The sequence below is a fragment of the Homo sapiens genome, chromosome 5 (assembly GCF_000001405.40).
Source record: "Homo sapiens chromosome 5, GRCh38.p14 Primary Assembly".
Lineage (NCBI taxonomy): Eukaryota > Metazoa > Chordata > Mammalia > Primates > Hominidae > Homo > Homo sapiens.
Genome location: NC_000005.10, coordinates 94897408 through 94920164, shown reverse-complemented (window position 1 = coordinate 94920164; position 22757 = coordinate 94897408). Strand labels below are relative to the sequence as shown.

The 22757-nt window shown below is 36.5% G+C and overlaps 1 protein-coding gene across 56 annotated transcripts in view; it reads left to right on the top strand.

The window, feature by feature from the left end:
- MCTP1 (multiple C2 and transmembrane domain containing 1) overlaps window positions 1–22757 on the top strand; it is a 581405-nt gene that overhangs the window by 364930 nt on the left and 193718 nt on the right. For 33 of the 56 annotated variants that reach the window (XM_047417718.1, NM_001393537.1, XM_047417715.1 and 30 more), the window contains 2 exons: window positions 7189–7359; window positions 10784–10914. The exons of 1 other annotated variant lie outside the window; for it this stretch is intronic. In XM_047417718.1, coding sequence (XP_047273674.1) covers window positions 7189–7359; window positions 10784–10914 — 302 coding nt within the window. Of the gene's footprint in view, window positions 1–2191; window positions 2270–7188; window positions 7360–10783; window positions 10915–22757 lie in introns of all 56 variants that reach the window. 22 more of the 56 variants (XM_017009855.3, XM_047417712.1, XM_017009859.2 and 19 more) reach the window with 2 other exon arrangements.

The window sequence follows — 22757 nt, the reverse complement described above, 5'->3', positions numbered from 1 at the left end:
TTCTATTTGTATGTATTTTCGAACAAACGTAGTAAAAGCTTTGAAATTTTGTTGGACCACGATTAAAGTTAGAGAGGATAGTTAAAACATCTTAAGTAAACATAAAGAACTTCCTGGCACCATAAATTGTATCAAGAAGCAATGGAAATACAAAAGAAAGTTTAAGGATTAAAAACCAGCAGAATTTCGCTAAGGATTATGGTGCCAGTAAATCATCTTCTAAGAAAAAAAGGATCAAAGCTTTATTATAAGATGAGACACTTCAGACTGCGCTGGACAAAGCACTGGGAGAGTTTTCTGTAAAAGCAATCCTACTTTGAGAGGATGGGTGGATGGCAGAACAAATGCACTTGTTGGACTTCATCATCCAGGTGCAATTCGCTGGAATAAACTCAGCAGGAAAAGCAAAAGATAGAACAGGCCTTTGCCTGGGATTGAGCTAATTGCTCCACACTCGTCTTTGCAGCACAAAACAGTCATTCTAGGCTGTCATTATCTCTTCTTTGTAGTGTCTCGGGGATCATTTGATTAAATAAAAGCACATGCACCCTGTGCTGAAAATAGAAGAAAGAGCTGATTCCACACATGGCTTATTGTAAACACATAAGCAATGTCTTTCACTCCCCGTTTCAGTGTCTGGGTCTCATTTGGAAAGATTAGGTTGTACACAGGTAATAAAATCCAGGATAACAAAAGCCAAGGATTATTTGTACTTATCAGGGAAGGGGATTGGTTTAACTGTGTTCCCTTAGTATCATATTAAGTCTAAATCGATTTTTTTTAATTTTCCATTTTTAAATCACAACGAGAAAAATAAAATATCTCATTTTTAGTGATCCACCTTTTCAAGAAATGGAATTACTAAACTTTTTAAACTAAAACTGGAATATAGAAATGCTTCCAATTTATATGCTAGATTCTATGACTTCACCACCTTACTGGTAGACATTGAACTATAATTTATTATAGAGTAAAGTGAATAACATATGCTAGGGTTATTACCACCCGCCTACTCTTACTTCCTCTAATCCCTCGATTAGCCTTTCTCGATAATCTATAACCAAGGATACATTTCACCTAAGTGACAGGCAAAGTATTTTGAAAACTCCTATACCAATTAATTTCTTTTGTTGTACCATGAATTTCTTAGTCTCTGTCAAAAAAAGGGAGACATGGGTTGGGGGTGGAAATCATTGATTAGGTCTCAGCAACTCTAGATTCAAATCTCAGCCTTGCCAATCTCTAGTCATTTGGCTTTGAGTGGGGTACTTATCTTCTCTATGCCTCAGTTTATTTACCTTAAAATAAGATTCCTGTCATGAAAAACACTGGAGTGCGAAAACAGCAGCATGTAATAGCTGCACAATAAATGTTCCTTTCTTTCCGTGTGATTTAACCCACCTTTCTGACTGCCCTAATCCAGTCTTCTCTGTTGATGTTATTAAGGCTGATGACTCACTCTAATCTCATCATAATACTATTGTTAAGAAACTTTCTTTAACTGCTCCAGAAGACCTGTAATATAAACTTTCAGTCCCACCATGATAATTTCCCCCCAGGAGTTCCTGTTCAGCTATATCTTTCTTAATCCATCTCTTGCTACTCTTGGTCTTGGTAGTGAAGGGATCTTTGGGTTACTTTTTCGTAGCAAAGGCAGAAAAGGGAGGTGTCATGTGGGACAAAATTTCCCTATTAGTTTAGAGATACTTCTTTAATCATTGCAAAAGATTTACATGTGGGATGCAAGGTTAATATGATCTTAGTTTTTGCCTATTCATGTCACATTTATTTTTCTGAAAGCTTATCACTATTCTGACATTTTGAAGCAGCAGACTTGGAAACAATTATTCTTTCCATGATTTCTCTTGCTATAGTTATTTTCTCTGATGCACCTATTAACAAAAACCTGAAATCACTTAATTAGGCTCTATTACCATATAATCTCTGGGCTTCATTTCCTTGACCACTGCAGCATCATTCTACTAAAGAAAATAGTGGCTGGAAATGTAGAATTGCATTGACATTTATCTTCATTGTGCTATAAGACATTTTCTGACAGTGACTTGAGAAGCAAATACAAATTTTCTCAAATAATGTTTTCTGAAGAGTAATTCAAACTGCTGATCAAAATGAGGGGTTGAGAATGGTACAAAGCTTCCCCGTACAGCTCTGATCATTCATTTCCATCCAGACGTGCGGCAGGCCAGCTCTTCCTGTCCTGGGCTTCTGCAGAGCAGAGCTTCAGAATCCTTATTGCAAAAATGTACAAGTAAGTTCAACCATTCAGTTCATTTATTTTTTTCTGAGCTTGCATGAGCTGGGATTTCTGAGAGCCAACTTACTGTACTGAAAACCCACTCCCTATACTAACCTATTTTGTAGATATGAAAAGGAATTGTAATCTTAATTTTTTTCAAGGAATAATGTAACTAACACTTTCTTTACATTGCCAGCTCATTTGTTCTAAAATCTTACTAAAGATACATGTTATGGACTAATTGCTTCAGACTTTGAAATCTGTATTGTTACCTGGTGTCTTGATATTCTTTATTAATTATGAACTTGGATGAATACTCCTTATGAAAGTGGATCTAAAACTTTGGATGTATGAGAATCACATGGGGCACATACTGAAATACAGATACAGCTCTACTCCATAAGAACTGAATCACATCTCAGAGAATCACGCAATTTCAGTAAATTGACTGCTAGAATTTGAGAACAACTACCTTACAAGTTCAAAGATTATTCCTTCCTTTTAAGGGCTTTGGTTTTGTTCTTTGCTTTGAAGAACAAGGTTGGTTTTTTCCTTTTTATTCTTCCTGCCTTTTTTCTTGTCCTCCTCAAGAAGAGTTCTAATTCAACAAGGACCTAGTTGAGAGCATTACCTCAGAAAACTAAGTACCAGCCGCAATATGCAAATTTTATTGAGTGATACCTTGGATTTGTTTAATACTCCTTGCCCTTTAGGTGCTCAATAAGTGATTTTGGTGGACTAGCAACACTTCAATAAATATGTGTTATTTAGATATATTTAGGAGAAAAAATAATAAAGGAAGAAAAGAAGCACAGCTTTTCATAATTATTCAGTAGGGTCCTACTTCTCTTTTTAAATACTCCAAATATCTAGACCAATATGCTTCCCTAATCAGTAAATTTAGAAGCAGGACTAAAAAAGGACTTTAAATAGCATAAATAATATTCACGTTAATGTCTACAATTGTATTAATAGTTATTAGAACAAAGAGAAGCCAGTGCGCATGCACCACATAACTTTCAAAGCAAGAATCCTCACTCTAGAGTGTGTATCAGAATTACCTGGCAGGCTGGTTAAACCAGAATGCCTGGCTCCACTCCCAGAGTTTCTGATGCTGTTAGTCTAGATGGGGTCAGAGGATTTGAGTTTCTAAAAAGTTCCCAGGTGACATCAATGCCACTGGTCTGTGGACCACATATTTGAGAGATTTGCTATACAGAGGAAGCAAACTTTTTAAACAGAGCAGCAAGTGACTCAGAAGTTACCTTGGAGAGCATCAGAATTTCATAGTTTGCAAAGTTTCTTTTTGCCGTGGTATTCTGCCCATCCCCACTCCCTCAATGAGCTCCCCAGAACTTTGATTCTGAAAATAAGTAAAAGTAATAAATGACTATCTTGAGCAAGCTAAATCTTCATTGTTTATGGAGTGTACTTCTTTCTCTGTAGGCCCCTGAACACACAACCTCCCTCCACCCGTAGATACACACAGAAAAGTGTTGTTAGTACACCTGGGGCCCTGAAGTACAGTCTAGAAAAATCAAACATAAGAAAACTGAGTCCCAGAGAGGGAGAAACATGCCCAAGCATATAGCCAGAAATTGCTAGGAAGATGTGAGTGAACATTTATTTATGTTACATGCTTATCTTTTCTGCTGTTGGTAGCCTATGTTTATATCTTTTACCTTTACCTGTAATTTTATTTCAAGTCTCACTTCTTCATGCATAGACTAAATATTTAACAGTTTCATGACTATGCAGTTGCTCAATAAAATCTACAATTGAATTATGGAGTTTCTTTGTAGAGAAGTACCATTTTGAACAAAAATTATTGAAGAAGAAAACATCACTTAAAAAATATCTGAATAGAATATCTTTGAAACTTTTTAAATTTCTTCTTCTTAGCCTTATGTGCAGGTCCCCATAATTACCACACCCATTAGCCCTGTTTTTATGAAGAAATGTTCTCCTTCCTCCCACTTAGCTCCCCAAGTTGTTTTGGAAATGTTCTTCTGGGTTATAGAAAAGCATTTCACAGCAACTAATGGCAGTAGGTAAAGTCTCTATTATGTTCATTTTATTTCTGTGAAAGCATAAAGGACCCAATGGAAAATGGAATCTTTTCTCCTCCTGTGAGCTTTACATGAGAACATGAACTTGACTTACAGGGTGAAAATGGCTTTTCTCTCCCTCACTCTGTAAGCCAAGTTCATGTTCTCATGTTAAAAACAAACAAACAAAAAAACCAGAAAACAAAATGAAAGGAGGAGCAAGCAAGGAAGGCACTATTTTAGACATGGCACTGTTAAAGAAACTTACTTCACATTGCTAATTGAAGACACTGTGTAAACTAGCTTTTACCCAGCTACTATTTGACTGCTTCTAGAGAGCACATAGAAAAATGGCATTAAGTATATTCTTCAACAAGCTGAAATATTATAAACACATGTGGTCATATAATAGAAAAGTAAAAGACAATTTCATGAATTAGCCATGTGCTTGCCACTTAAGTGGAGAGTACCCTTTGGAAACATTTTGTTTCAATCATACTTACCTTTTAACCTATGAGAGAATCTCCACCCTAAACACTTGTATTGGGGAAGCTCAGGAATAAAGATGAGAAATATTGGGGTTCTAGTCATATATCTACCATTTATGAGCACAACCACTCTGAGTTCCATCAGTAAAATGGGGCTAAGAAGCCTTGCCTTCTGACCTCATGGGGTTTTCGTGGGAACCAAATGTTGTAATGTAGATATGTACACTTTTAAATTCTAAAGCTCTATATAAGTTGGCAGCTATTAGCTCCTTGATCTTTGCTAAAATAATTACTTCTTCTTGCTTGCCACAACATTTGTTTTCTTTGCTTCCTTCTTTGCTACTCATATTCCTTAAAAAAGTTTCCAGTCCAAAGTTTAAAACCCAATTCTCTAGAGTCTGCTGTTAGAGGCAGTCTCAACAGCAGCAGAAGTGGTTAAACCAGTCATACACCAAAATCTACAGCTGGATTATATAATAATAAGTTGCATGAAATCTTAGAACTAAAACAAAGACCTTGGGCATAACTGGGCGCAACAAATTCTAAACAATTACTTTCATCTGAGAAGTCCTCTGTTCAACAAAATCCAATGTGGAAATCCAATATGGAGAACAGACAGGAGCAGAGGGGCTCCAGCTGAAGTGGGCATGGAGTTCTGCAGAACTTGCAGGTGCTCCATGAATTCTCCATTACACTTCAGAACACATTTGAATGCTGCTCTTGAAGCTCACAGGGATGAAGAGTATGTAGACAAAAGCCTGCGTTGATATTCATAGGGCAGAGCCACCAGGCAAAGTTCAAAATGTGCTGTGTTCAACAAGGCAGGAAAATATGCAATGTGATTTTGAAAGATTTTCATTGAAATGTTCAAATATTAGAAGTATTATCTTTTGAAGAATGTAGTTTTCATTTTCCTAATAGAAGCACTCTGAAATGCATGACTTTTGATGATGATGATAAAAATACCTATGGCGTTGCTCTGGTATGGAAAAAGGTAGGAAGTCAAAGTGGGAGGCAGAGTTACGTAAAATAGACTGTAACTTTGTAACATTAACGTAGAACGGATCAGATAGAAAGTAGTGCTAATCCGTAATTTAGAAGTGTACTTTGAGGTTGAGAGGAATGTTGAATTTCTTTATGAAATGACTGTGAGTAGGAAAAACACATTTGATAATATGAAAGAAACTATTTTTACAGTACTGCTTGATGCTGAATCCAGATTGAAAATGTTTTCACATTTAGTTACTTTCTATGGCTTGTTTTATGTCCTTTTTAGTTTAAAGAGATTATGTGGCCATTTTTAGTAGACTTGCAAATTTTAATAAAAGTCTAAGCCAGGTGTGGTGGCTTATGCCTGTAATCCCAGCACTTTGGGAGGCTGAGGCAGGAGGATCACTTGGAGCTAGGAGTTCAAAGCTGCAGTGAGCTATGATCATGCCACTGCACTCCAGCCTGGTCAACCAAGCAAGACCCTTTCTCTAAAAACAAAACAAACAAAAATAAAAAATAAAAATTAGCTGGGTGCAGTGGTGCATGCCTGTTGTCCCAGCTACTTGGGAGGATCACTTGAGCCCAGGAGTTTGAGGTTACAGTGAGCTATGACCATACCCCTGCACTCCAGCCTGGGTGACAGAGCAAGACTCTGTTTCTAAAAAGAAAAAAAAAAGAATAATAAAAGTCATTAAAGAAAATATTCAGATACTAAAATGTAAAATAAATTCAGAAACATACTTGCCAATATAAATCACATGGGTAACTTTAAACATTTTAAATATTTGTGATGAAAGTTTTAGGTATAAGCAAGACATCTTAGATGGGCTTATTGATTTTGTTTTCTATTTTGTGGTAACTTAAATTGTCCTTTAGCAATCTGAAGCTCAATAATCTCCAAATGTGGCAAGAAAGAAGTTTTTAAACTATCTGGATAGAACTTGCAACTAATCTTGCAATTAAAAACCACCTGTAAAATATATTTATAACATAGAGATCTTCAAACACCATAAATAGTTTAAAAATTAAATACCACAGTATGAACGAGGCCTTTGATATTTCTAACATTTATTGTATACATATTTTGGCATAAGCCTATTTGGCACACATGCAAATATTCTCTGATATTCTTGAAGTATCTACATCTTGTAATCTTAAGAATTGAAAAGCTAGACTGTATTTTGAACACTCAACTCTTTTACACAACGAATTTATCATGAAATGATAATTTCATAATTTATTAATTTTATAATTAATTAATAATTCATAATTATTTTTAGTTAAAAAAATTATAATTGCCGATCCTTTATTTTTTGAAGAATCATAACAGGAGAAAAGGTAACGCCAAAATGAGGTTTTTGGGTTTAAAACACAGTAACCTAACTCAATTTTCATTTGCCAAAAGTTTCAGACCCAAAGTTTACGCCTATCAGACCTACACAGAAAATCGCATCTTTGGAGAGGAATAGTCAGCATCACCTTGATTGAAGGGAGAGACCTCAAGGCCATGGATTCCAACGGGTTGAGCGATCCCTACGTGAAGTTCCGGCTTGGGCATCAGAAGTACAAGAGCAAGGTAACCTTGTCTCTATTGTGTTCCTGTCAATATTTGGAAGGCATTGGTTGGTTAATAGCCCTGCTTTAGGAGATGAAACCACTAGATAATGTTTTAAATGCTTAACAAACTCTTTTGAACACCATGTCAGAAAACAAGACCAATAATTGTATAGCATTTTTAAATTTATGTACTAGGTGACCTCCCATAAACTACTTGTCTATGTCCCAATTTCTTCATCTACAACATAGCAATAATAGTTGGAACTATCCCTTGGCATAGCTCTGTGGATTAAAACAATAACAGCCACCCAGAAAACACATAGTTGATGCCTGGCACATAAAGTACTCAGAGTGCGGCTTTTTTTTTTTTTTTTTTTTTTTTTTTTTTTTTTTTTTGATGGAGTCTCACTCTGTCACCAGGCTGGAGTGTGGAGTGCAGTGGCATGATCTTGGCTCACTGCAACCTCCGACTCCCGGGTTCAAGCAATTCTCCTCTCTCAGCCTCCCGAGTAGCTGGGACTACAGGTGCATACCACCATGCCCAGCTAATTTTTGTATTTTTAGTAGAGACGTGGTTTCACCATGTTAGCCAGGATGGTCTCGATCTCCTGACCTGATGATCCACCCACTTTGGCCTCCCAAGAGTGTAGCTTTTAACATTATTACAACTAGTGCTAATATCAGTATTATAAATAGCATTATTTTACATGCCATAAAAATCTTTGTATGTTACTCTTATACACTTTATCCAACCTGACTTGTACCAATGCAAATAGCAAATTTTAAAATTTATTAGAACAAGTTACTTTGTCTCTCCATATCTTAGTTTTCCCATCTGTAAAAATGAGAGTTAAAATAATGCCTACCTAACAAATTTACTAAGATTAAATGAATATATGTTACGCATTTAAAGGGCTTAGAATACTGCCTTGTCCATAATCACTCAGCAAACAAAAATAGCAGAAGAGGAAGAGTAACAACAGTAGTAAGAAGTATATCGTATAGTATCAATTATAGTAGTAGTAATAATGTATTAAACAATAATATTAGTAATATAAGTAATAATGAATAAGGGTCTAGTAGTCATAACTATATTTTTGGCACATGTCTTATGTATTAGTTCATTCTCACACTTCTATAAAGAACTACCTCAGACTGGGTAACTTATGAAGAAAAGAGGTTTAACTGACTCCCAGTTCTGCAAGCTGTACAGGAAGCATGGCTGGGAGGCCTCAGGAAACTTACAATCATGGCAGAAGGCAAAGTGGAATCAAGCATGTCTTTCTATGGCAGAGCGAGAGAGAGTGAAAAGGGAAGTGCCACACACTTTTAAACAACCAGATGTTGTGAGAATGCATTCACTATCATAAGAACAGCAAGGGGGATGTCCGCCCCCATGATTCAATCATCTCCCACTAGGCCCCTCCTCCAACATGTGGGGAGTACAATATGACATGAGATTTCGGTGGATACACAGAGCCAAACCATATCATCTTATCTCTGTTGTAATGAACTATGTCCTCTTTATTGGTCAGTTTTTACAGATGTTATTCATAGACAGCTTAGGACAACTGATCATATCCGTCTTGTATTAAAGATCACATTCCATTCTGATGGGCATTTATTCACCTTAGTGTCATAATCTCTATAGATTTTTGATAAACAGCCTGCTTAGGTCCCTTCCAGCCCAGGAAGTTTTCACTAGTACTTAAGGTAGTTAAAAATATCAGAGAGCCCATCATTAGCAGGCAGTGAGTATTGCTAGCAGGCTGATTGGAGTGTCCACATAGAAAGGGAAGGCATTATTTCTGACCTGAAGGAAATAATATAGGGAAGGCAATCCTAGAAAAGAAAACTGAAAATTTAGTCTGTTTAAGGCCAGATAAGTAAAGACAGACCACACCCCAAAATACCACAGAAGTTCATCTGAGCCTGATTATAAGACATTTAAATTATCATAGCCTTCATTCAGTGCCATTTTTTTTCTGCCATGGGGCTTATATTAAAGTAGCTATAATATATAACATATATTAAAGTAGCTACTGATTCCAAAAATAGGTACCTATGACCACTTCTATCTTCTCCTTTCTTAGTTAGCACCATTTCCGTGTTCTAGTTAGGCTAAAAACATTACTTATTTTTATAGTTCTGCTCTTTAGGTATGAAATATGAAACCCAGCAATGGACATGTGTCTCTCTTTGCTCTTTCTTTCCTTGATCTATCGCTGATTAATTTCAGATTATGAACTTTAAAAATTGTGATTCATTTGCATTACCTTTGCATATAACATACTTCATTGCTTTCAAACTTTACATCTGAAGATCTGTCTGCCATACATTAAAAAGAGAAAAGGCCACTGCATGCCTTCCTGCTAAAAAGAAAGAACAAGGAAACAAATATAAATGTTGTTTAACCCAATGGTGAATGGAATTTTAAAATTCCATTCCTATCAATATAGGTTACTTTGCTCATTGATTCTACCATACAGGATGACTTATCTGAATACTTGAAGTTACAGAATTACATTTCAGATATCTTTCTTGTATATGCAACACAAAGAGTATATCCACATATGTGTATATATACATACATACATATATGTATACACATATATGTATATATACATATATGTATGCACACATACATATATGTATACATGCATATACATATGTATATACTCATACATATATACATGTATACATACATATATACTCATATATTCATTTATTATTTCACAGACATTTTTGGCATATGGTTTTGGGGGAAGAGTCCCGAAGCTTTAATCAAAGACTTTGAGTTAGTGTCTAGATACTAAAACATACTGACCGTAGGTGTGTCACTTAAACTCTAGGTCTCAGCTTATCCATCTATAACATGAGATACTACATCAGTGCTATAAGTCTAAGATAAAAGTTTGCCTGACTACCCAAAAGCTACTTGCGTTTTTCTCCTGCTCTCACAGAAATTCATTGTCTGTTTTTCATGTACTCAAGTCAGGATTCCAATGTGTATGGCAAGTAAGAAAAAAACAAACTCTGAAAATCCTCATTCTCCTTTATTTTGAGATGACTGACTGGCTATGAGTTATATCTTAATGCATTAACTATGATTATGTAAAATATTGCTAGTATCCGAGTGAGCTATTTCTTTCATAGATTATTACCTCTTCTATATAATTTATATATCTTATCTGTTATTTAAAATAATCAAAGAATGTCTTGTGATTTTCAGGACACATCCATTGAGGTCCATTCATGTACTATTCAGTAAAGATGCTGGAGATCTAATGAGTTATTTCCATTATTTCTGTAATCTTTTTTTCAAATAGCACACAGCGTGCTTTTCTAGATACTATAGTACCAAAAGTTTGATTTAGTGTCTCAGGTTGAAGTTTTTTTTAAAAAGCTGCTAGCAATATGACAATTATGATTTTTTTTTCCAGATTATGCCAAAAACGTTGAATCCTCAGTGGAGGGAACAATTTGATTTTCACCTTTATGAAGAAAGAGGAGGAGTCATTGATATCACTGCATGGGACAAAGATGCTGGGAAAAGGGATGATTTCATTGGCAGGTTTGTGCAATTTGTAATTTTTGGTTCACTCCTAGAGCATTTTTATTAAAAGAATATTTGCTGTAAGCCTGGTTATTGTAAATGATCTTTACTGTTTTGAAGAAAGGGACTTTACCATGGTAAGGCAATGCTTGGATGAACTGAAAAATAGATTCAAAAACTGACCAGTAGGTGGCGGTTTTGACCAGTTGATGGACACAGGCTATCTGAATTTGATATCCATGAATTTTCTCCAGATGTCAAAGTTATGGGAGTTGAGAAAGAGGAATTTCATCTGATATAAGATACATAAAGGAACAAAGACCATATTCATAGTCTGTAAAGTGATCTAAGATAATATTTATTTTCATAAAGCATACTATCACCGTAAAATGCATTATTTTCTACAACGCCCTACAAGGTAGAGAATGCTTGTAATCTCCTTGGAGTTCATAAATCTGTAAAGAGTTCCCAAGTATTAGTGTAGGAAGCATGTAAGTGAGGCAGATCCATGTTAATCTGATAGCACAGTAAAGAAAGGAGTATTCTGAGGCTTACATGACATTTTTCACAAAGTTAAGGTTATTTTGAGTGACTACTTGAATCATATGTTTTCTTAATTTAAAGCCTATGTTTATATTTTTTGATAGTTATATATGTGTCTTTGTAGCAAAACACATTGAAACCTGCCAATATTGAAATAAAGTGTGGTGTACTGAAGAATTTGTTAATTTTTTAAATTAAAAAAAAATTCTTTCCTCACTGTAGCTTACATGAAATTCCAAGTCTTTAAACATACAGCTTGAAGAAAATTTATACATACTAAGAGTAAAATAAATTATACTCCAGAAAAGTAAGAACAGGAATCCAATCCAACATATTTATCTCTTGATTTTTTTTATGATGCAGTTATATATATATCATTTTCTTCATAGGATTATATAGTGAGAGGTCAAAGATGAGCTTCAGGTAGCCTTTACTATTTTACTTGTAAAGTGAGCTTGGAAAACACCACCGTAATCTAATACTACATTACATTTCAAGCCTTTTTAAAGCACAGGCCTTTATTGCACATTTTTTCCCTTAATTAAAACACTATTTTCAGAGTTTTCCTAAAGTTTTATCTTGTTCTCTTTGGGATATACCACATCTGTTAATACATTAAATGCATTTCATTATAATTATATATCTAAGATTCTGTCTCCCTCAATAGGCTATGAGCTCTTTCGAGAAGGTGCTAAGTAGCTATTCCTCGAATGATTAGTTCATTTTCTTTGGTTATAATAATATTAGTTATATTTGGTGACCACAAGATAATCAGAATGATGGGCATGTGTAACTTGCTACTTCAACCTTATTTCTTTGTATTCAAACTCTCTTATCTTGGTAAAATAATGGAGATTATGCTGTAAATATTCTGGCTACCTGTATTTCTAGGTATACATTACATTCCTTCATATCCCTTCTTCTCTCTATTTTTTTTTTCGTATAATGACAGATGTTCTTTTATATTTTTTTCCTTTGGTAAGAATTTTCCAATTTAAAAACTGTGAAAATTTCTCAGGCCAATTGGGACTGATCATTTTCTTTTCCTCACTTAATAACATTATGAGTTCTTCAAGGGCAGACATGGTTGACAGAAAGGTGGACCTAACTATCTCACTTCACTTTGTTTCTAAAGGGTTTTCATATTTTGGCTAATTTTTGAGAAAACAGTACAAATTGCTGGGTAGAAGATCATAGGGATTATTCCAGGTATCTGTGGAAGCTTGAAAAAGAGAAGTCTATTTTCGGTCATATACCAAACTTAATTGCCTATGAGAGCAATTTAAGCCCAAAAGTTTTAGAGTGAAATGAGCACAGGTATAGACAAGACAGCTCTGGAGTAGTGGTTTATACTGGTTTACACAATGAAAGGAATGAGTGTTAGATTTTGAGATACTGAAAGATGGACAATAGAAACATGCTGCACACTCCTAAATTAGCAAGGTTGCCTTTTGCAGAAAAGGGAAATAACTATGATGCATCATCATTTCAAATCTTTTTGATATCCAGATGGCACTGAAAATTCCAGGTCTCTAACTTGACGCTTGTTAAATTGCTCTTTAAAAGCATCTTGCCGCTGAAAAGCAACATGTTATTATACCTAAGTATCAGGCAAGTTGTGTTTCTTTATTTATTTGAAGCTTGCATGGAAACAGTGGAGATAATACAGATTATAATAGAATTACTTAATTCCTAGAATAGTTTCAAAGACAATTGACTTACTTTCCAATTAAATTTGAGTATTCAGGGTGAAGTAACAGTAATAAAACTGTCATCATAATCATCTGTCCTTTTTTGCAAGCTCTCACTGCAACATTCTGTGTCTGTTAATTTTGAAAGTAGAGACTATTCTAGGAATTTGCTGGAGGCTTGTGAGTAAGTTTAAAGTTGGCCATGGAGGGTAATACTATTCCTTCAATGGCTAGTAACATTTTTTAAGGGTACTGTCTGAGCTGAGTCCCAAATTTGAGAACATTTGTATGGATTACATTATCTATATAGACTAGTTTATTATGCTATGGTTTATAATTGTCTATTTTACTTTCCATTTTTGGTCATATATAATGATTTTTTAAAATATATTTTGTAAATGCAAACTCAATAACAGAGTTTGTTTCATTATATTTAATAAAAATAAGACTGGCTATGAATGAAAGAGCCACTTGCAAATCTGGAGTGTCAAAGAGTTAAAACTATTTTAGTACTGAACATTACCCACTTCCATTCTTGTTTTTGTTTTTGAGACAGGGTCTCGATCTGTCGCCCAGGCTGGAGTGCAGTGGTGCGACCTCGGCTCACTGCAACCTCCACCTCCTGGGCTCAAGCGATCCTCCCACCTCAGCCTCCTGAGTAGCTGGGACCACAAGCATGCACCACCATGCCCGGCTAATTTTTGTATTTTTGGTAGAGGCAGCGTTTTGCCATGCTGCCAAGGCTGTTCTTGAAGACCTGAGCTCAAGCAATCCACCATCCTCGGCCTCCCAAAGTGCTGGGATTAACAGGTGTGAGCCACTGCGCCCAGCCCCCACTTCCATTCTTACTTGAACTAATATAGTCAGGCATTTGCCCCCAACAAGCCACCAAAACTACTCCTGTCAATGTCCCCCAAGCCCACCACATTGTTCAATTCAATGACCAGTTTTCAACCTTCGTCTAACCTGACCCAGCAGCAGTACTGGATTTAGCTGACCCCTTCCTTACCTTAAAACACATTTTTCGCTTGCCTTCCAGGACACCGCATGCTCCTTGTTTTTTTCTTACCTCACTGCATGCTCTTTCTTGTCTCCTTTGCAGGTTTTTCCTCATCCCCTCATGTTGTAGTTCTGGAAAGCCTCGGAGCTCACTCTTTGGGCATCTTCTTCATCTATACTGGCTCCCATGGTGACTTCATTGATTCACAAGAGTCCAGCTCCACTCCATAACTCTTCTCTGCATTCCAGATTCCTATATTGCACTGCCTACTTGATATCACTATTTGAAAGTCTAATAGATTTCTCCAATTTAGAATGTGCAAAGCTAAACTTCTAACCTTCAGTCCCACACATCTGCTCCTCCTTCAGCCTTCTCTTGTTTGTTGCTAACACCAAAAATCGTGGAACCATGTTTGATTCCTTTCTTTCTCTCACTCTCATCAAATCAATCAGCAACCTGATAATTTTTCTTCAAAACATATTGAGGATTCTCGACCGCTCATCATCTCTATCATTATCATTGTGGTCAAAGCCACCATCAGCTTTCATATGGACAGTAGCAACAGCCTCCTGTTCTTCCTTCCACACCTCCCCTCCCACAACAGTCTGTTTCCAATTAGCAGCCAGAGTAATATTTTTAAAACAAAAATAAAGTAACTTAACTCCTCTGTTCCAAATCCTTTAATTGTTTTGCATCATAATCTAGGGACAGCCACAGTCCCTTCAGTGGCCTATAAGACTTTGCACAATCTGGCCTTGTTGCTTGTCTACTATGAACTTCTGCTATTCTGCCTATCCCCGTCCTTCATTCACTTTCAGCCAGCTGGCCTCTTTGCTGTTCCTCAAGGCATACCAGACACCCTCCCACCTCAGGACCTTTCCCTCTATCTAACTTTCTTCAGGGATCCACTCACCTGCCTTGCTTCTTCATCTTCTTTAGATCTGTGCACCAATGTCTCATCAGGGAGGCGTCCATACCAAGCCTATTTAAAATTGAACCTGCTTTTCTTGGCATTCCATTCCTCTATTCTGCTCTGTTTTTCTCCATTAAAGCAACCACCATATGGCAAACTATGCATCTTATTTATGTTATCATTTATTTTCCCTCATTAGAATGTAAGCTCCACGAGGGCAGGGATTTTTTGAGTGTTTTGTTCACTGCAACATACTCCATACCTAAACAAGTATCTGGCACCAAGCACTCAGTAAATATTTCCTGGGTTTGAATATAAATCCCTGAAGCTTGATTTAACACTGGAAATTATGGCTCTTTGTCAGACAAATGCTGATCTGACACCAGGCATTAATGGAAAGGCAATTAGAACAACATGACTTAGTTGAAGGTAAGAAAGTTTCAGTGTAACTGTGGAAAGGTAATTGAATATAATGCAAAAGAGAAGAATGAATTAGTTAAAGTATAAAAGTGTCTGAATAATCTTTATACTTCAGTAATAATAAATGGCCATATTTGGGGGAAAAGTAGGCTATACATTTACCAAGACACTTACTATAACTTTTCATCATCATGATATCTACGGAGCTGTCTGGTTGTAAAACTTTACACAAAAGTAAATTTACCATAAATGGAAAGAAACAATAATAATAATGCTTTACAACCTGCAGGGCCCTATTATACACATTAGCTTTACACTCTGGGGTAGCAGGGGTGGTTCATATTATACCAATTTTGCAGATGCAAATAGTGAGGCTGAGGGCAGTTAAGAGGTTGCTCAGCCAGTGGAGTGATTGATCTGAGGCTCAAATCCAGATCAATCTAAAGTCCATGCTTATTTCATCACACTCTTGTATTCAGCATGTTGTCCTGGAGCCATGGAGTGCTCAGTAAAATGCCAAGTACTCGGTAAACTAACTTAGGTGATGCACACCATATTGCAAGTTTGAACAACAAATTTTACCTGTCACTGAACTACAAATTTCAAGTGAAGGTGAAATAATGTTAATCTGCATGTAATTATTTAACTTTCTGATCACCTGCATTTTGGCAGGCAAGACGGACTGCCCCCTTTACGATAATCAGCTAATAAATCCCCATGATTGTTACACTTTTATGCAGAGCAGTAATCTGAACAAATTGGCTGCTGACAGCTGTGGTAAATTGCCAAGAATGAGTGCTGTCAGGGAACAAGTTGTTTTTATGAATGTGCAGAATAAGTAAATCCTGTGTCATGCAATTTTATTCAGTTGGAGTTATTTGCAATCCAATATAGCAAGATTTACAGCATTATTTATTAGTGTGCCAAATGCTTGTTTATCTTTAAAGTGGCGTTGATTTGGGGTACATATATTTTAGGTTGGTGAATTGCTACTGACTTCGTTGCATTGTTCTCAGGGCCTAGGCATTTGGTGCTACCCATGACAACTAAATGCTACCAATGTACGCTTGAGTCAAGGGCTTAATTTTAACGAAATTCTTATTAATGGTATATGATAAGAAAAATATATTCTGAATTGGTAAGTTCTGGGTGAAGAACAAATGCTTTCAAAATCTACAGCCATAAAAATAAATCTATGGCTCTCTCTAATGCTGAAGAGAAGAGAATGTGAACTGTTTAGATGAACACAAATGTGTGTTCAAGTTTCATGTGGCAAATGAGGAAAATAGCCTTTGACTTTGGATAAAAACCAAACTAATGTTTTCTTAATGTTGAAAGTCAATACATTTGAGCATTTGACACTCCATAGATTCTGATTTGGAATGTTTTTTATCTGTGACACCAAAACTACAATGCTTCCTTTACTTTCTACATAAATAAGAGCAGGAGAAATCCTACTGCATTATTAATCTGAAAGCACAAGGACAGCTAGTCAGAAAATTCTAAACTGAAGAGAGTTTAAAAAAAACATTGTATTTTACTATTTTTTTTTACTAATGATTGAGTGAAATAGTTCATTAGGGAGATAGGCAATATTTAAATAAAGAATGGAGTTTGTCGTTGATTTTCGTCTTGGTTTTTCATAAACTCAACCTAAACAAAATATATTAGGATTTTAATCCCTTTTCTTTCATGAGTTACTGTTTGTTCTTCTGAAGATTTTCTCAGAAAGGCTGTACTCATTGTAATATTTTAAAAATAATTGGCAAAGTTCTCAAAGACAGTTACCATACACTGCTGTATGTATAGTGTGTAGTTTACCTTCAAGTCAATGAATAGGGAATTATAGAAGTTTGCAGAAGTATACCCAGGTAAATCAATCTCCCCAGAGAGAGTTGAACAGTGACAACTTCTAACAACAGAAAGGCAATAACAGCATTTAGCATTTTGTGATGTCAGAGATAGAGTAAAAACTTCTGCATAGTCATGGAACTTGAAAACACTTCAGCAGCTACATATTGAATCTTTTTAATGCAAACATTTCAAAGAGTCATATATTATATCAATTTATAATATAAGATGTTATATTATGCAAATGTAAAGTAGTTCTCATATATTAAGAAATCTCAAAAAGCTTCATACATGTATTATTCAATTTGCTAAAAATTATGTAAAATTGTGCTTTTTAAAACCCCCTCTCATAGAGGCATGTCTTCCCATTCTGAGTGTTTTATGTTTCAATGTTCTGCCAATCATGATGGCTTCAAAATCTCATTAGTTAGTACTTTAAGGCATAATATATACTTAGAAGTATATATTAAAGAGAGCAGATATAAATTTCCTCTTGATAATTTTGGATTGTTTTGGCAGATCTCTTGCCGGATCTGATTCTAGTACCACTGCTTTGTGAGCTATATCGTGGCTGACATAGAGCTCAAGTAGGGTAGAAGTGTCGGCTCGGCAGATTCTTGTTTATCATTGCTGTTCACTTGTGCTTGTTCAATTAGTGTTATCTTCTATCCACAGTTCCTTTGGTGGGATCTTTTAAAGCCAATTGTCCATTTTGTGAGGATTAGTTTAGTTAAAAATTAGATTATATAATCTCTAAATCCACTTAATAGGGCATGTATGAACTGCAATTCAGGAAAGGCGAGTGAGCCCCAAAGGGTGCCACTGTTGACCCCTTCGTGTTAGCCATGAAGCTCCTATGCCTCCCTCAAAATACTTGAGGCCTATGTGATGTATGAGCCACCTGTGTTCATGTATTAGAGACTGATGAGGCTTCATTTCTGTCTTATTTTTACGTTAAAAAATAATTGCAAATAGTTCTAACATGTACTTTCTGTACCCCCACGGGACTCATACGAACACACCCAGGGTGCTAATCACAAGACTGTTTCATCTAGAAAGGAATGTTATGAGTCACTGGTTCAGAGACAGCAGATGGAAAGGCAGGGGAGAAAAACGGTGATCAGAACACTGAGATTTTTCTCCTTGAACTTTTAGAGGATAACATCACCCCATAAAGATGATGAATATTCCTTTCACATGATTAAATAGTTCAAATGTATATAGTTTTTTTTTTTTAATGCAGAGAACTTCAAGCTCTGATATGGAAGTCAGGAAACATGGTTCAAGTTCTTGCCATCACTTAATTTTTCTAAGTCTTATTTTTCTCACTCTCTGAGGTACCATCCCAGACAGTGGGAGTGAGAGAGAAAGAACATGAGTCAGGGAATACTAGGAAGCATTTGTAGAATGAGGGAAAGTAACTCTAAAATTGATTTGGTTTGTCTCTGTGTCCCCACCCAAATCTCATCTTGAACTGTAGCTCCCATAATTTCCATTGTGTGGGAGGGACCCGGGTGGAAGGTGATTGAATCATGGGGTGGGTCTTTCCCATGGTGTGCTTGTGATAGTGAATTAGACTCATGAGATCTGATGGTTTTATAAAGGGGAGTTCCCCTGAACATGCCCTCTTGCCTGCCACCTTAGAAGGCATAACTTTGCTCCTCATTCGCCTTCTGCCATGATTGTGAGGCCTCCCCAGCCGTGTGGAACTGTGAGTCAATTAAACCTGTTTCCTATATAAATTACCCAGTGTTGGGTGTGTCTTTATTAGCAGCGTCAGAACAGACTAATACAAAAATCTGTTTTAGATTTGAGTCTGTTCTTGTTATTCTGTTGATTCATTAATTGATGAGTTGAATTTGATGCAGATCACTTGAATTTTCAAATATCAAATTAAGGCAAATGTGATAGTATAACTAGATAATACATTTACATAGCACTTTCAACTTTTCAAAGTACTTTTTCATCCATGATTCCTGTGTTCTTACAATTCTCTGCAAAGAGAAGGCATTTTTTTAAAAATTTCCATTCAATAAATGAGGAAAGCTGAAGTACAAAGAGTTTAAGTGACTTTCTTAATATCACAATACTAATGAATAATCAGGATTTATTAAAATTTCTGTTTTCTGAACCCCCAGCCATGGACTCTGATGCCAAATAACTTTCTTCAAAGTAACACAGAATCTGTGCTCATTCTGAAGTAAGGATCTGAGAAACCTGAAGGTTTAGAAGGGGCTGAATCTCCAAATCTAAAAGGACCTGAGACATAAGCACTTAATGAATAGTTAATGAAAGAATTAATTAATGAGTGAGTGAAATGAGTATTGGGGAGAAGTCAAACCACTTTCTAGGAGACAATATAGAAGTGGTAGAATGAGCACATTACACACTAGCACTGGCTCTGCCACTGTCAAGCATTGTCACCAAGGATAAATTATTGAGCCTCCATTTCCTTGTCCATAGTACTTTAATACTTACAGTGCACCAGCTATGTTCCAGTTGGTGTGCCACGTGCTGAGAATAAGATATTGTTCCTGCCCTTGAGGCATTTCAGGATATTAAGAAAGACAGCTGCAAGTTATTTCAATGAGAATTGGTAAAAAATTAGCCATGCAAAAATGAGATACATCATCTCAGGCTGAGGGCATGCCTTGTCCAAACATAAAGAAACAGGTGCGTTCTAGCATGGATGTTGGGAGGATTATAAGGCTTCTGGAATGATAAGTTGTAAGTGAGAATGCATCAGCAAGTGACACATAAGCTGATGGTAAGTCATGGAGGGTACTGTTGACTAGCTAAGGATATCTCGTAAATAGTGCAAAGCCAGGGAGGGACATGGTCAAGTTTGTGTTGTAGACATCCATACAGAGAGGGTTGGACTGTAGCAATGGTTTTTGCCTTAAGCCAGTTTCTCAAGAAAAATGGAGCACGAGGCAATGATTGAGTGCTGGTGCTTTATTAGGAGGTACCATCCCAGACAGTGAGAGTGAGAAAGAAAGAACATGAGGCAGGGAATACTAGGAAGAAATGCAAGGAAATATATTCATGGATTGGTCACTGTTTCTGGTATTTCAGAGATATAGCTGGTTGCTTAGCAGGTGCATCCATATGGCCACATGTGCACAGGCCATATGGAGAATTATGTTTTGGAACAGTTTGTGAAAGGGAAGAGGTGTGGGACATTGTCTTCCCATCTCCTATTACATTGATCACAGTTCACCCTACAAGGAGATAACTTCTGCATTGTTTCATGCAGCTTCCTTGGCAGTTGATCTGGGAGCCAGATACAATCTTCACAGTGTGGCTTCCTATCGAAGTGCAGAAGTGGCTTTAGAAGCCAGAAACTCAAAAGTATATGGCGGCTAGGCCTGGATGCACCTTGGCAGAAATGGGGAGTGCCTAGCTCATTTGGGACAGTGAAAGATCAGCCAGCCCTAGGTGGGAGACCCATGAGGACCCAAGCACAGTCAGTTGGTCATGGGTTTGGGATGAAGAGCAGCCCTTTGGGGAGGCATAGCCAAAGGAGCAGCTGAGGCAAAGCGAACAGCTGAGGACTCAGGAGACCATGGCTCCAGGAGAGCCTAGGGAGCTATATAAGCTGTGTCATGTAAGTTTTCAAACCACACATATAGAACCATCAGTATAAAACAGATGTCAGGAGAGCTGCTCTGTGAACCAAAGAGGATAGTCAGTCTATACCCCTTTTTCTCACACTGCCACCCATAGTGGCACACCCTACTGCTCTTTGCAATACAATTTGAAATTAGATGAGATGAGATGCCTTCTTACACCAACATTCAAGTTTTTTTAGCAATACATCTGAGGAATACTATTTCATTGCCTATAAGATAATTTTGTTCTCTTAGCTTTTTGATTTGTGGAATTGCAAAGAAAGGAAGATGCAGCAAATGTAAACATACAGTTACAACAAATTGTGGAATTTGAGGGTTTGAGAATTTAAAGTTCATCTGCAGATGAGAAAACTGAAATCCAAGAGGATAAGTTATCTTGAAAGAGGTCACATGACTAATTAATGTAAGACTGAGGTCTAGAACCAAGGGAATCTGACTCCCAAACCCGGGACTTTTCTCTGTGTATGTATCTGTGAACATATTTTTGGAATTCATAAATTTGTTTTGATGCTTTTTAAATTTTGCATTTTTATCTTGGTAACAATATAAAACCATTACTGTATACCTATCCTGAACCACCTGGATGACCACTTCTTACTTCTATATTCAAACAGTAGTGAAACCTCCCTTTGTTCAGGACATAACAGTACAGGTGAGCCAAATATAGAAGAATCTACCCCATAGCAGTTAGTACTGTATTCACATTGCACCAGACTATGTTGGAAGAGTTCCATCCTTGAACATATTTGTTCAAAAGTTATGAGGGGGTAGCAAATGCTTTTTCCTCAGCCAACGCCAGCAACAATATGATTTGATACCCATCAGTAAAGCTTTAAGTTTATCCTCAAGCCAACAAGAAAACTTTGCTTAGTTACAGGTGACACTTCATTTAAAATGGCATCTTACTCTCGAGTAGAATATTTAGATAAATAAGAGATCCAAATAACCTTAACTAGCACAAAGAACCTTGAAGTCATTAAATACTTTCTTGGCTGATATATTTATGAAAATGGGCATTCTCTACATTGGAATTATTAAAGTCAAAATTCTGAAACACTGAATATAGCACAGGACCTGAGATAAACTATTTCTATGAGTACACCCAATACTGAAATTTTAATTGTTACAGAAAAGCATAATATTCCCTATACATTTATATTGTTAATTTAAATTTATTAGTTTCATAGTTTCAAAATTCAATTTATAAATTTTTCTTAATCATCTTATAAGAACAATAACTTACAGCCTTCTTCTCTGGTTTATATATATTTTTAAAGCATAAAAATAACATATTTTCATACTTGGAAACTGAGATAATTCTTTCTGTTAAAAATAAGTCCAGGCACAAAGAGGGGAACGACACTGGGGCCTCCTTGAGGGCAGAGTTTGGGAGGAGGGAGAAGATCAGAAAAAGTAACTATTGAGTACTAGGCTTAGCACCTGGGTTACAAAATAATCTGTACAACAAGACCCTGTGACAGGAGAGTTTATGTATATTACAAACCTGCACATGTGCCCACCAAAACCTAAAATAAAAGTTTGGGGGAAAAAGTCGGCTGGGTGCAGTGGCTCATGCCTGTAATCCCAGCACTTTGGGAGGCCAAGGTGGGCGGATCATTTGAGGTCAGGAGTTTGAGACTAGCATGGTCAACATGGTGAAACCCTATCTCTACTAAAAATATGAAAAAAGAAAAATCCACTGAGCATGGTGGTGGGCACCTGTAATCCCAGTTATTTGGGAGGCTGAGGCACGAGAATTGCTTGAACCCAGGAGACAGAGGTTACGGTGAGTTGAGATCGCGCCACTGCAC